The sequence below is a fragment of the Homo sapiens genome, chromosome 2 (genome assembly GCF_000001405.40).
Source record: "Homo sapiens chromosome 2, GRCh38.p14 Primary Assembly".
Classification (NCBI taxonomy): Eukaryota; Metazoa; Chordata; class Mammalia; order Primates; family Hominidae; genus Homo; species Homo sapiens.
Genome location: NC_000002.12, coordinates 36,679,825 through 36,695,828, shown reverse-complemented (window position 1 = coordinate 36,695,828; position 16,004 = coordinate 36,679,825). Strand labels below are relative to the sequence as shown.

Below are 16,004 nucleotides of genomic sequence, written 5' to 3'. Positions count from 1 at the left end.
AGTTATACATGGGATGATTGCTGGCACGTCTTCATTGGCTATATAAAATGTGGCCGAGAAGATAGGCTCTCACGGTAAGAAGTCTGTGTTGATTAGGAGTAACTTTGGCCCAGCTCTCTGGTCTAAAGCTCTCAAATGTGACTATGTGAATCTGGGTGGGATTCATCTGCTCAATGCCATTGTGCAGAGATGCATAAGCTTTTTAATGCTATAAAACATGGTAGCTGAAATTAAATGCCACTTTTTCAGAGGTGAATTAATGAAGAGCCTGATGAAATTCAAAGCTTTTTGATGTATAAAACTTGATAAATGGAATGATTCCATCAATAGGCGAAGTGTAGCAAGCTATCTAGATGGATAGTATGTAATTTCTGCACAGGTCACTGTTAAATAAATACATCACTGTACACTGATCAGGAATCTTCCTCCATTAAAGGAACATGAAGACTAAAAAAAGGGAGATAATGATTTGAATGTTATTTAATCATTTTTACCCTTACTTCTTTTGGTTCTGCAATGAAATTATTTCTCAATCCTCTTTATTCCTCCACTAAATTCTGAGCCCAGGTTCTTTGGTGGTAAGGATGATAATGCTGTAACACTGAGGATCCCCTGTCCTACCACTTGAATTAGGGCAGGTTCAGAATGGCAGCCTAAGCATAATTCATAATCACATTATTCCTAATACTACTACTACTAATGCTGCTGGACTCGGTGGCTCAAGCCTGTAATCCCAGCACTTTGGGAGGCCGAGGCAGGCAGATCACCTAAGGTCAGGAGTTCAAGACCAGCCTGGCCAACATGGTGAAACCCCATCTCTACCAAAAATACAAAAATTAGCCAGGCGTGTGATGGCGGGTGCCTGTAATCCCAGCTACTCGGGAGGCTGAGGCAGGAGAATCACTTGAACCTGGGAGGTGGAGGTTGCAGTGAGCCGAGATCGCACCACTGCACTCCAGCCTGGTTGACAGAGCAAGACTTGGTCTCAAAAAATAATAATAATAATAATAATAATGCTAGTTGCTGTTTATCAAATACTTACTTTTACTAAGGACAGCAACCCTGTACATATATCATTACATTTAATATTTAGAAGAATGTAGAAGGATTAGTAGTATAATCTCCATTCTATAGATAAGAGAACTGAGGCCTAAAGAGATTAAGCAACTTTCCCAGGGTCATGCAGCCAATAAGGCAAGATATTGGATTCAAATCCAAGGCTTCTTGACTCCAAAGCAATGGTGCTCTATTAAGACTTAGAGCTTCTTTTCTTTTACTATAATAGTTTAACTTGTTTTCTTATGGTAAATAAGGCAAAATCAAATATAAATGTATTGAAAAGCATATGAAGAGATGCTCACTTGCAGTGATGAAGAATTTTGGAAATAGTAGTGATGGTTGCACAATATTATGAATGTAATTACTGCTACTGTATTGTACACTTAAAAATGGAAAAAATGGCAAATTTTATTACATTTTTTTTACCACAGTTAAAAATGGTAAAAAAGGAGCCATTCTCTTTTAAAAAACAATGACATATCATTTTGTTTTCATCATCTTGGCAAAAATTAGAAATCTGAAGAAAGATCATGGCAGACATGTCATAACCATGATGAGCTGCTACTGGTGAAGACAAATGTGGCTATTCTAGAGGAAAATCCAGAAGTACTTGGTTGAATTACCTGTGTACCCCAGGATCCATCCACCTCTTTCTGGGGGTATATTCGTCAGTGAGCTTCTCACACAGGGCCACTAGAAGTCCATGACCAGAGAATTCATGAGTTAAGTATGGGAGAAGCACACCACGAGGTACTGTTCAGAAGCTGGAAGCAAAGGCCTGGAGCCCTCGTACGTGCTGTCCCCGAAGTATTCTCTCGGATATCTGCGTGGCTCCCATGCTCACCTTCTTAAAATCTAGGCTCAAATGTTACCTCTTGAGTGAGCCCTTTCCTGGCTGTCCTGTTTAAAATGGCACCAACATTCCAAGCCTTTCCTTTTCCTCTTCCCTGTTTTATTCTTCTCTCTAGTACTTATTGTCCTTTAATAATATTTACTACTTGATTTTTTTTTTTTTTGAGTTGGAGTCTCACTCTGTCGCCCAGGCAGGAGTGCAGTGGTGCGATCTCGGCTCACTGCAAGCTCCGCCTCCCGGGTTCACGCCATTCTCCTGCCTCACCCTCCCGCGTAGCTGGGACTACAGGCGCCCGCTACCGCGCCCGGCTAATTTTTTGTGTTTTTAGTAGAGATGGGGTTTCACCGTGTTAGCCAGGATGGTCTCGAGCTCCTGAGCTCGTGATCCGCCCACCTCGGACTCCCAAAGTGTTGGGATTACAGGTGTGAGCCACTGCGCCCGGCCCTACTACTTGATTTTTAAATCGAGCGTCCCCCTCTAGAAAATAGGATCCAGGAAGGCAGGAGTTTTTATCTGCTTTGATCAGTGATGCATTCCTAGCCGTTGAAGCCAACATATAATAGGGCATACAATAAGTATTAACTAAAAAATGATTGAAAATACATTAGAATGGCTGCCTATGGGAAAATAGGATAGGAATGGAGAATTGGGATAAAATGGAATAAAAAACATTAAGGCAAAAGTCCTGGGGCCTTGCATGGACCACTAGTGATGGTGCCAGGAGTGGAATCAACCCTCCATCCCAGACGTCTGGCAGCAACAAAAACACTTACAACAAAATCAATCGAGGTGGTGGCCTTGGGGAAATCTTTTCTCTTTTTAAAGTAAAACAAGATCACAACTTCCTGGTGAGTGGCCTTGAGCTTGCTACTTGGCATAAACTGAACTATGTTATTTCAAGTTGAGAACAAGAATTGTGATGTTCACTTTTTCCTGCTATTACTACTTAAAATTCTGTTTTACTTATAAATCACCTATGGTTGCTTGAATGCATCAGTTCTTTCTTAAATAACTGTTTATCACCACGTAAACTTAGTATCCCAGTCTTGTATTGTATCCAGCACAAAAACTCGAATCTCTTTTAGAACATTCTCTATTAAAAGTTTTTATTATTGTCATAGACATTGAATTTGATGACTCTTTAGTATACTGCCTCATTTTTTTCTTCATTCTGGAGACAGAATGTGGAGAAATCAATGCATTCTTCATATCACAAATCCATTCTTTTATGTGACTTTTAAAAATTCAGTGTGGCAATTTAAGAGTCTAAGTAATGAGATAGTCTTTTCAGACACTCCTGATACTTTTACTGTGTGCAGGTATAAAACACAAGAGTTACACCTTTCATAACACAAGCTCACTTAAATGTCTAAGGCAACATCATCTTTGATGCTGCATCAATATTTCATAGAAATGTGATTTGCCTTGAACGCTTCTACAACAGTTTTGAGACTGTTTTCTCCCTGCACTTTGGCAGATGTTTACTGCAAGCATCCATCAGTTGTTATTTCAGTTTCCTGGACACTGCTGAATATGACTGCTAAGTATACATGTTTGGTGTAGTTTCAATGTGAATGGGAAATTTGCCAGTGTAATTTGTTTTTGTTAAATGTACACTATCACCATCAAAAGAGATTTTGCTGAGCAATGTAAAAAAAGCCTCCAAAACGAGAATGAAGAGTTTCTTAAGAATATGTCAGGGAGAAAAACATGATTATTAGATAGGAGTCCTTGATTACTAGGTAAAAGGTAGGCTCTGAGAAGAGCAAATGATGAACCTGTAGAATTCATTTTCTTTAGGCTATTTTTTTACAAAAGGAAGTCAGAAAGATCACTACTCCCAAATGCTTCCTTGAAAGAAATGAGCTGGAACCACTGTATCAAGTATTAGACAATACCTACAATATTCTAGGCCAAACTAACAAAAAATGAATGTGGGTAAGTCACTGTGATTGTAAGAATATAAAAGAGATTAAAAGATCTAAAGGATGATACTGGGAGCTGGAAGCTATCCTGTAGATCCTACACTACAGAGCGTTGCTGGTCTGGCAGATTAGAAAAATACAAAAGTGCCTTATACAAAAACGAGGGCTCAAAATGGTGGGCAGGAGATTATAGGCCTTATATCTCCCTATTATGCCAAATAAGCACATGAAGGCTAAAATAAAAGATTGGTTCACAGAACACTGGTCAGCTGGGGCTCTGCTGATCTAAGCTGTTCTGTGCTGTGCGACTCTGCTTCCCATTATATGTCTATGGGTTGGCTAGGGAACCTCTGCTCTACATGTGTTTATTTTGTTGTCCATGCTGCTGGGACAGCAGCTATACAGGAGAACTCATGGCAATGGCAAAGTCGCAAGGGGGCAATGGAAAATATGTGAGGTTTCATAAGGCCTAGTCTTAGAATTGGCATAGTATTATTTCTGGTCCATTCCACTGGCCAAAGTAAGTTCCATGACCAAGCCCAAAGTCAAGGGGTGGGGAACTAGGCTGCCCATAAAGAAGCTATGGTAAGAGTGTGAACGAAGAGGGAATGAAGAATTAGGATGAATAGTTCAACTTACCCCACCATCTCTCCCCTTTCAACCTTTCTGTATCCTTACATTTTAGTTGTATATCTTGTAAATAACATTCAACAGGATTTATAAAAAAAATTGTTTGTCAATCTCTGCATTTTATTGGGTAAATTTAGTCTATTTATTTTTATTATGATTACTGATACAGTTGGTTGCATTTATGTACCTTATTTGTATTTTTTATTTACTCTATCTTTATTTTCTTCTTCTGTTTCTGCTAGATTAGTGAAGTTTTCTATGTTTCCTCCTCTCCCTACCTGCAATGCTGTTTTTGTAATCTACAGATTGTATTTCTAAACTTTTAGTGTCTACCTTTTAAATTTTAATCTATATATGCAACTGTAATTTTTTGAAGTTTAAAGTTATTTATTATTTTTACTCCTCTCTTAAACTTGAAAAGAATCTTAGGCCACTTTAACTAGGTTCTCTGCAACTTGTACTTTTGTTAATAATTTTAGTGTTACCTTTTTAAAACACAAAATTAGATTGTTATTGCTAATATTATTTTTCAAAAGGGTTTTCACAATTAATATATTGGCATATTTTATCAGTGTGCATTTTTGCCATTGTGTCTTTTCTCCCATGCCTTCCTTATAAATTTAGATTGCCTCTTTATTAAAAACATTCAAGAAAATAAGAAATGATGGGTACTTTAACATAATAAAGTATATATGCCTTAGTCATAAAATCCATCATCTTACTTAATGGGAAAACCCTAGAGGCATTTCCACTAACATCAGGAATTCAACAAGGATAACCACTCTATCTACTACTATTCAACATCTCTAGAGGCATTTCCACTAACATCAGGAATTCAGCAAGGATAACCACTCTATCTGCTACTATTCAACATTGTGTTAAAAATATTAGCCAGTGCAACTTGACAAGAAAAATCCATTAAAGGAAAAATAATTAGTAAAGAAGGAATAACGTTATCTCTATTTACAGATATGTAAATAGGTGTGTGTGTGTGTGTGTGTGTGTGTGTGTGTCTCTTAGTTCTGCTTATTGAAAAGGCCTAGAATCAATGAAACATTACTACCAATGAGCACACACAGTATTAAGAGCTTGGTTTCTAATATTCTTTGATACATAGAATCAGAGCTCCTTGAAAAATAGCTGATTCTAGAACTGGGGATGGGAAATTACAAGTGTGCCTGGAACATTTTGGAGCCAAAAAGCAGGAAATGCTCAAAAGATAATGGTAATGCCAAAAGGAAACAGGAGCTAACCTGAAGCAGCCCTCAGCCAAATCTGGGACAATTTGAACAAAGTAAATAATGATATCAGTGAATTACAACACAATAAGATAATATTTTATGGGTCTATACTGACACAAATAATAAATAAATAGGGAGAAGGAATAACTTCATTACAAAAGAATTGCAATTAATAAATAAATATTAGTTGGAATAAAGGATAATGAAAGAAATAATAATGGTAGAAGAGAGAATAATAGAAATAGAAAACTATTGTTTGGCAAACAACAAAGTAGTGGGTAAAAAGATGATAAGGAACAGGACATTTATTAGTCTCAAAGTATCTCCCCTAAAAGATATTTGTTAACTAAATACGGAAAAATAGTGTCTTTACAGTGGAGAAACCTGGAGAAACCAAGTGATCACAATTGACATTGTGAGTAATTAGACAAATTGACATCATGTGCCTCCTTATATGCAGGGAGAAGAATACAACATCATTTCTGTGGTGTTCTTGCCAAAAATACATAAGCGACTTTAATTATGAGGAAACACCCGACAAACACAAATGGAGAAAGTCTCTACCTTATCTGGCTAGTACTTTTCAAGAATGTCCAAGTCATGAAAGACAAAGACCAGTGGATTATTACAGATTAGAGAAGACTAAGGAGATATTGTGTCCGGAATTGGTGGGTTCTTGGTCTCACTGACTTCAAGAATGAAGCCGTGGACCCTCGCGGTGAGTGTTATAGCTCTTAAGGTGGCGCATCTGGAGTTTGTTCCTTCTCATGTTCAGATGTGTTCGGAGTTTCTTCCTTCTGGTGGGTTCGTGGTCTCGCTGGCTCAGGAGTGAAGCTGCAGACCTTTGCGGTGAGTGTTACAGCTCTTAAGGCAGCGTGTCTGGAGTTGTTCGTTCCTCCCTGTGGGCTTGTGGTCTCGCTGGCTTCAGGAGTGAAGCTGCAGATCTTCGCAGTGAGTGTTATCGCTCATAAAAGTAGCGTGGACCCAAAGAGTGAGCAGTAGCAAGATTTATTGCAAAGACTGAAAGAACAAAGCTTCCACAGTGTGGAAGGCGACCCAAGCGGGTTGCCACTGCTGGCTCAGGCAGCCTGCTTTTATTCTCTTATCTGGCCCCACCCACATCCTGCTGATTGGTAGAGCCGAGTGGTCAGTTTTGACAGGGTGCTGATTGGTGCGTTTACAATCCCTGAGCTAGACACAAAGGTTCTCCACGTCCCCACCAGATTAGCTAGATACAGAGTGTGGACACAAAGGTTCTCCAAGGCCCCACCAGAGTAGCTAGATACAGAGTGTCGATTGGTGCATTCACAAACCCTGAGCTAGACACAGTGTGCTGATTGGTGTATTTACAATCCCTGAGCTAGACGTAAAGGTTCTCCACGTCCCCACCAGACTCAGGAGCCCAGCTGGCTTCACCCAGTGGATCCCGCACCGGGGCTGCAGAGGGAGCTGCCTGCCAGTCCCTCGCCGTGTGCCTGCACTCCTTAGCCCTTGGGTGGTTGATGGGACTGGGCACCGTGGAGCAGGGGGTGGCGCTCGTCGGGGAGGCTCCGGCCGCAAGGAGCCCATGGAGGGCATGGGGGGCTCAGGCATGGCAGGCTGCAGGTCCCGAGCCCTGCCCAGCGGGAAGGCAGCTAAGGCCCGGTGAGAAATCGAGCGCAGCGCCGGTGGGCTGGCACTGCTGGGGGACCCAGTACACCCTCCACAGCCGCTAGCCCGGGTGCTAAGCCCCTCATTGCCCGGGGCCGGCAGGGCCAGCCGGCTGCTCGGAGTGCGGGGCCCGCCAAGCCCACGCCCACCCGGAACTCCAGCTGGCCCGCAAGCGCCGCGCGCAGCCCTAGTTCCCGCTCGCGCCTCTCCCTCCACACCTCCCTGCAAGCTGAGGGAGCCGGCTCTGGCCTTGGCCAGCCCAGAAAGGGGCTCCCACAGTGCAGCGGTGGGCTGAAGGGCTCCTCAAGTGCCGCCAAAGTGGGAGCCCAGGCCTAGGAGGCACAGAGAGAGAGGGAGGGCTGTGAGGACTGCCAGCACGCTGTCACCTCTCAATATGACAATTAGATGCAACATGTGATCTTAGATTTGACCTTGAACCAGAAAAAGGACATTAGTGGGAAATTGATGAAATTTAAATGAGGTCTGTAGACCAGATAATGGTCGTGAATCAGTGCTAATTTTCTGTTTTGTTAATTGCATTGTAGTTACATGGAAATATTAATATTTGGGAAGCGGATGAAGAGTGTACAGAAATTCTTTGTATTAATTTTACAACATTTTTGGTAAATTTGAAATTATTTCAATATAAAAAGACAAATTTTTAAAACCAAAAAAGATGGTGTCATGAATGGAAAATTGGATTAGAAATAAGAAACATGTTTTATTAAATATGATATTAGATCTGTGTCATGGCTGTATTCATGGTTTTTGGCTCTTTAGCCTCCAACAAGTCACTTGAACACTCAGTTTCTTCATTTGTAAAATGAAAAAATTAACTTGCCTTTTGATTTGGAGTATCAAATTAGATAATCTTGATAAAAGGCTTCCCATGCCTTCTTTATGGATTTAGATTGCTTCCTTATTGAAAACGTTCAAGAAAATAAGAAATGATGGGTACTTTAACGTAATAAAGTATTTATGCCTTAGTCCTAAAATCCATCATCTTACTTAATGGGAAAACTCTAGAGGCATTTCCACTAACATCAGAAATTCAACAGGGATAATCACTCTATCTGCTACTATTCAACATTGTGTTATAAATATTAGCCAATGCTGATATTAGCCAATGCAATCTTGATAAAGATTAGCCCATGCAATCTTGATAAAATACCCTATGATCCATAAATAGCTATGCAAAATATCATTAATAATAATTATTATATAACTCATTCTAGAGATTAGAGTATTCAGGAACCAGACTTTTTGTTTTTTTAGAGACAGGGGTCTCACTATGTTGCTCAAGATGGTCTTGAACTCCTGGCCGCAAGTGATCCTCCCACCAGAATCTCCCGAAATTCTGGGATTACAGGCATGAGCCACACGGTTGCTGGCCAAGATCTTTTTCTCAGTGGTTATAGCTACCGTGGAAGAGAAGCACATAGCAAATTTTAAAGTTTCTCATGACATCCAACTACTCTGGCTGATAAATCTAAGTGAATGAGAAGCAAACAGAAGCCAGATCTTGATGGAGAGCAACACAGTGTGATGTATCTGGAGGTAAACCAAATTCCCTGCCTCATGCATAAATGAAGGGCTCATAGTGCCTTTTAAATGACAGAGAAAAAGGGACCGGGTCTCTTTACAGAAAGGCTCCCAAGAATGCCTGCACACAGCCTGGGTCACATAGATCAACATGTTTGTCATAATACTTTTGTTTTAAAGTAGAAAGAAATGGCATTTCTTTCTCACCATTTGGAAAGGTGAGTGTAGGTGACATAGGCATCTGGGCAGGGGTGGCCAGAGTGGTGGGAGTGATGCCACGGGAGGCTGGCTCTATGGGTTCCCACCAGCAGTACAATGCCCAGAACTTCTGTTTGGAAGGGCAAAATCTGAGAGCAGACGTGACTGAAATTGCATAAAAGCCATGGAAGAAATCACAAAGGAAAAGATTAGTAGATTTAACGACATTAGCATTAAAACTATAACATGGTTTTAGAAAAACAATGGACACATACACTATGAAAGAGTTATAAAGCAAATGATCAAATGGGAGCACATATTTGTAATAAGCATGGCAAATTGTTAATATTTTTAAACTATAAAAATATTTAAAAGCAGTAAGAAAACTTCAAAAGCATCACCAAATAGAAAAATATAGGCCAGTGATATGAACAATACACACACACACACACACACACTCACACACTTTAAGTGGGCAACAAATGTGGAAAAAATCATTTAACCTATGGGGACACTCAGGAAGTATAAATTAAGATGATATTAAAGCATTTATTTTCAGCTCATTGATTTGACACAGATTTTTTTAAAAATTCAATACTAGTAAGGGCGAAGATCAACATTCTCATGTATTACTCATAACAAGTGGTAAAAATTGCTACAATCTTTTCAGAAAATAATTTGGCAAGCTGTACCATGAGATGAAAAACAGTTTGACCCAATAATTCCCCTTCTAGGAATGTATCCTAAATAGAAAACCAGAGACGTGTTATGCTGTGTCTAGTCATAATACAGATAGACAGCATAGTCGATAGGCTGCATCCGCGAGCTGCAGTTTGCCCAGCCAAGAGGGACTGTAAGCCAGAAACCCTGAGCTTGGCTCTTACCTGGGGTAGGAGTGTGGGAGGGGCTTTTCCAGCACCTTGGTCACAGAGCACCCTGTTGGTTGAGCATGACCTATTGTCCTTTCGGTTGTATCCTCTAAGGTGCTGGGTTGTGCCCCAGAACCCCAGTTGTCATTGGCAGAGTGGAAAGCATCTGGAACTCCTAATAGATGAGACAGGAGTGCAAATTCTACTACATGTTACTTGAGTAATTTTGTCTTTCTGTGTCTCTGGCTTCAGAAAACAATGATAATCACAATAACTATGATATTAATCATGTTTACTGAGCATTTGCTGTATGCCAGGTACAGTTCTAAACATCTGCATCTATGAATTCATTTAATTCTCAAACAACTCTAATGAGTAGTAGTCATTTTGGAAATGAGAAAATGTAGACAGAGAGATAAAGTGACAAGGCCAGCAACACACAGCTAGGAAAATGAAGTCAGGATTTGAATGCAAGTGGCCTGTCCCCTGGCTACGCTGCCTCAGCCCCAGGTTGCTGAGAGGATCAGGACAGATAAAATATGCAAAAGACATGTTTTGAAATCATGAAGCAGGACTTGCCTGTAAGGCCTGTTTATTGCTTGCAAGGTAATAATAAACGACATAAGCTGGAGCATCTGCTTTGGCAGTGTTTGCTTTTGCTCCATAACTTCACACTTAAAAATCAGTTAAAGAAATCCTGACTAGATATAAAAATGACTATTGAAAAATCTCCCTTCCTTTGTTTTTTTTCAAGCCACAGGCTAGTTGAGAACGGACACCTTGCTGAGAAAACTAGGTAACTGAACGGCTTGGGTGATTTTATTTTTCCTATTTTCCAAGTGCTAATTTTAATGTAGACCCGAGAGTCAATTTTTTTTTTTTTTTAAGCAAAAGGAGGTTTTCTGTGGCCTGATGTGTCTAGATCTTTTTCCTTCTGCTTTGCTTATAGGCTGAAGAAGCTTAATTTAATTTGCTAGTAAGGAAAATGTTTTGCTTTCATGAGTTTTGTGATATATTAATGTATAAAAAGATTAATTAGCATAAAAGATTAATTACAAAGCACTTGAACTAAATGAACTCTAATTATGATGAAAGCCAAACATAACCACTTCATTAGTAGGACAGTGAAAATGAAAACTGCGCAGTGAATAGAGAGTGAAGTTCCCAGCTACGTGACAGGTGAACAAAGGCAGGAATACACTCCATTTCATGAAAGCCCAGAAACCTGTGGTCAGCGTCCAGCTAGGAGTCTGGTCACAGTGCAATGGCAATCTTACGCAGACCAGGATGGGCCTACTTGAATACCAAATCCCCTGATTTAGCAAAATTGTGTTTAGAGATGCTCCCAAGTATGTATTTTAAAACACTGAGCTCAGGAGGTGACTGGACTTGGTGGGTTTTGGGGTATTTATTTACCTCTTTGCTTTCTAACAGCTTCATTTCACCCCTTTTCAAGGCCACCTCTTCTTCTGTCTGCAATGACTTTCCCTAGCGGTCTAGCCCCAGTCCTCTTCTCACTCCATGTGCCCTCCTTAGTTTGTTTTATTCACTTCCATTGTTTTGAGAACTAAGTATATGTTAAATTCTTTCTAATCCTTATCTCTGGACCCTCTTGTAAGTTCCCCTAGCTATTAATGATCACCATCTTCATACCTCTGTTATGGACTTATGTTTATAATACCTGTGTTATGGACTTAGGTTTATGATACCTCTGTTATGGACTTTACGTTTGTGTCCCCTCGAAATTAATACGTTGAAGCCCTAACTCCCACTGTGATGATATTTTTAGATGGGCCTTTGGGAGGTAATTAGGTTCAGATGAGGTCATGAGGATAGAGCCCCATGATGGGATTAGTGTCCTCATAAGATGAAAGAGAGAGACATCAGAGTTCTTTCTCCATCCCTTCCCCTCCATGAACTCCTGTTTATAGCCACACAGTGAGAAGACAGCCATCTGCAAGCCAGGAAGGGGACCCTCACCAGGAACTGAATCTGCAGGCACCTTGATCTTGGACTTCCCAGCCTCCAGAATCATGAGAAATAAATTCCTGTGCTTTAAGCCACTCAGTCTATGGTGTTTTGCTACTGCAGACCAAGCTGACTAGTACAATTTTGCAGGCACTTCAAACAAAATGTCCGGGAAGGAGCTATCATCCTTCTGAATTCCCCGTCCTGATCTGTGGCAGCCCCAGCCACACAGATCTGCAGGTCAGAATCAGAGTGTTTTTACCTCTCTTGTTCTGGTCTCATCGTTTCTTTTCTTTTTTTCTTATAAATTTTTTAAATTGAGATACAATTCACATTCATAACATTTCATCTTTTTAAAGTGTACAGTTCAATGGTTTTTAGTATTTTCACAGAGTTGTGCATCTATAACCATCATCAATTCTAGAATATTTTCATGACCCCAGAAGGAGGCTCCATATCCCTTAGCCATTCTTTCAATTCCTCTGGCTGTCAGTGCTAAGCAACCACTAATCAACTTTCTGTCTCTATAGATTTGCTAATTCTAGACGTTTCACACAAAAGGCATCATACAATATTTGGTCTTTTGTGATTTGATTCTTTCATTTAGCATAGCATTTTTGAGGTTCATCCTCAAATGTTGTAACATGCACCAGTAGTTTGTTTCTTTTTATGGCTAAAAAATATGCCATCATCATCATTTCTTGCCTGGATAATTGTATAAATTCCTGACTTGTTTCTTTGCCCCAAGTCTTATCCCTTCCAGCCCATGCCCCCAACTGTTTCCAGAGGAATCTGTAAGCATAAATCTGAGTATGTCCTGCTTAAAATCTCCCAGTGGCTTTCCACTGTTTGCAGAAGGAGGTCCAAACTCCTTGGCATGCTGTACCGCTCCTAGGATGCCTTCACTGGCCTGCCCAGCCTCTTTTCCCACATCATTCTTCTATACTCATGGCGTGGCTCGGGATATCACCTCCTCTGTTCTTTCTGTGTTAACAACTTCCTGTCTTTGCAGGTGCACCTCCTCCGACGGGAGTGTCCTTTCTCCAGACTCAGCCCAGCACACTCCTCTTCGTCCTTCTGTACTTATCTGTCATCTTCTCTTTGAGTTTCCATAGGACAATTCTGTTATGGTATGTGTCACTTGCTATAATGATTTATGAATATCTGTGAACTTGAGTGCAGGAGCTAAGTTTTGCTCCTCTCGCTATCCCCAGGGCTTGGTGTAGAGCCTGGAAAACAGCTAAAACTTACTAAATGTTTATTGAATAAATAAATGATTAGAGGTAGAAAGAAGCATAATATTTTAAACATTCATGTTAGTAGTTCACCAAATAATTGACAATTTGAAAATTTCTGTCTGAGCACATGTATAATAACTGGGGCTACTAAACATCAGACTGTTCTGGGATAAAAAGAAGCAAAGCTGCCATTAACAAGAACAGATATTTTATTGCCTAGGAATGGCTTAATTTACTTATCAAGAATTTACTAGATAACTGCTGACCACTCTATTTCACTTTGACACTAATAGCTCAAGGATCTCAGTAAATAACTGGTTTGTAGAAAGAATCTGCTTTTGAATTTCAATGTGCAAGATGCCTTTAACCCATACTCAATGAATTTTGATCACGTAATTTTTTTAGTAACTGAAGGCATGATCAATAGATGTAGGTATCAAAGGGCTCCGTTGCCACACACTAAGTTTAAGAAGCCAAAGTAGAATTCCTGCTTCTTGGGAAGGAGGCAGTTGATGCTCACTGAATTGATCAATGAATATGCTATTTCTGATACTAAAGTTAATTCCATGGTTTGTGTTTGATATTTTGGGGAATGTAATAAAAGATCTCAGTTCTGTAGTGTTCATGCTCTCTTTAATTTATAGCAACAATATGAGAAGTTCCTTTTGGAATCCTGAATTGGTGATGGGATTGTAAACATTAATTGATTTGACAAACAGGTTCACAAGGTATGTGATATCAAAGGCAGATCATGGACTATGTGCTGAAGCACTAAGAAGCGTAAGTGAAGTAGTAGTCTTAAACCACCAAGAGTTAGTGAAAATCAAGATAAGCAAACTACCCAAATATCTTTTTGCCTTTCCCCTGTGCCTTTCTCCTTCTATTTCTGGAAAATTACTTGAACTAGCTGTCTGACTCTTAGAATACAAATTCTGATTAGTAAAACACTATAAATTTCTTTCAGTTGCTCCCCAGAGCAACTCAGTTCTCCCGAATGTTTTCTTGGGTGAATCTGTGAAAGCTGAAGGCTCATAGGCATCAAGAAAGAGAATAAATTTCTATAAGGAATTTTGTTTTCACTGTCCAAGCCAAGGGGCAAACCATCATCCATATTACCAAGACAATTAATGCCTCACCATATAGCATTAGGCCATCTCAAAATCCTAGTTCTCTGGCACATGAAAAATAGCAATGACGCTTAAAGTCTGAAAAATCTAATCTTCCACATACAAAACACCAAGAAAAGAATTATGAATGAGTACCACTACACACATATTAAAATGGCTAAAATCTAAAGCACCAACACCACCAAGTGCTGGTGAGGATATGGAGCAACAGAAACTCTCATTTATCGCTCGTGGAAATGCAAAATGGCATTGTCACCTTAGAAGACAGTGTGGCAATTTACAAAACTACATATGCTTTTATCGTAAGATACAGCAATTATACTCATTGGTATTTACCCAAATGAGTTGAAAGCTTATATCCACTCAAAAACCTGCCACTGATGTTTGTAGCAGTTTTATTCATAATTGCCAAGACTTGAAAGCCACCAAGATGTCCTTCAGTAGGTAAATAAATAAATAACTGTGGTACATCCTGAAAATGAAATATTATTCAGAGCTAAAATGAGATGAGCTATCAAGCCATGAGAAGACATGAAGGAAATTTAAATGTATATTACTAAGAGAAAGAAGCAAATCTGAAAAGCCTTCATATTATATGATTTCAACTATATAGCATTCTGGAAAAGGCAAAATTAGGGAGACAGTAAAAAGATCAGTGGTTGCCAGGAATTAGGGAGGAGGGAGAGATGAATTGTCTGGGCACAGAGGATTTTTAGGACACTGAAACTATTCTGTATGATGCTATAATCATGGATATGTTGTCATTATGCATAGCATGTGAAACACCAAGAGTGAACTCTAGTGTAAACTATGAACTTTGAATGATAATGTTGTGTCAATGTAGATTCATCAGTTGTAAGAAATGTACCATGCTGGCATAGAATCCTGGAGTAAGAGAGGCTGCTGTGAGCTGGGGGTAGGGCATGGGAGAGGGTATATAGGAACACTGTACTTTCCACTCAATTTTGTTCTGAACCTAAAACTGCTCTAAATAATAAAGTCTATTTAAAAAATAAAGTACTCTTTGGAGGCACTGGAGAGTTACCAAAAGATGACAGACAGTGGAGGGCATACGACACTTGAAAGAAAGCTGCACTGCATATGAGCTGCATTTATTTGGCTTTTGTCCTGAAAGTACTCTCCAGTATATGCAACCCTTGGAGGATAGAACTCAAGCTGGAAGAGGCTGCATTATAGATTTGAAAAGTCAGAGGTTAGAGTTTGGGGATGTCAGAGCAGCTGGATATTAAGGAAGGAAATGCTATAAAACAGGGTCACAGAGGGTGGGGGGAAGCCCAAATCTACACGTAAACACCTCTCAAATGTTTGGCAGATGTTCAACTGTGACTGCATGCAATGAGATTCCAATAAGCCCCAGAGAAAATAATCAGCTGGAAGACTGAAAAGTTGACCGAAATTCTTCAGCTGCTTACTGCTGGGAAGACAGAATTGGGAGTTAATGTCCTCTCAAGTTAGAAGGGCTTGGTAAACATCTCAGGCTGCCCATTGAATCCACAGAAGGGACTTGCCTTAGGAGTAAAGACTACATCCCAGGATTAAGAAAACCACCATAAGATTAATGGCAAAGCTATAAGATGACCCTAACGAAACTTAAACCAAGCCTTTAAGAGACAGGTAATTGGTGTGGTGGCTCATGCCTGTAATCCCAGCACTTTGGGAGGCCGAGGCGGGTGGATCATGAGG

At 40.0% G+C, this 16,004-nt stretch overlaps 1 long non-coding RNA gene across 1 annotated transcript in view; it reads left to right on the top strand.

Moving 5' to 3' along the window:
- LOC124905990 (uncharacterized) overlaps positions 1 to 6,420 on the top strand; it is a 118,030-nt gene extending 111,610 nt beyond the window's left edge. Inside the window, exon 3 of the long non-coding RNA XR_007086283.1 lies at positions 6,169 to 6,420. This is a non-coding gene — a long non-coding RNA (uncharacterized LOC124905990). The remainder of the gene's footprint in view (positions 1 to 6,168) is intronic.
- Positions 6,421 to 16,004: the final 9,584 nt, after the last annotated feature.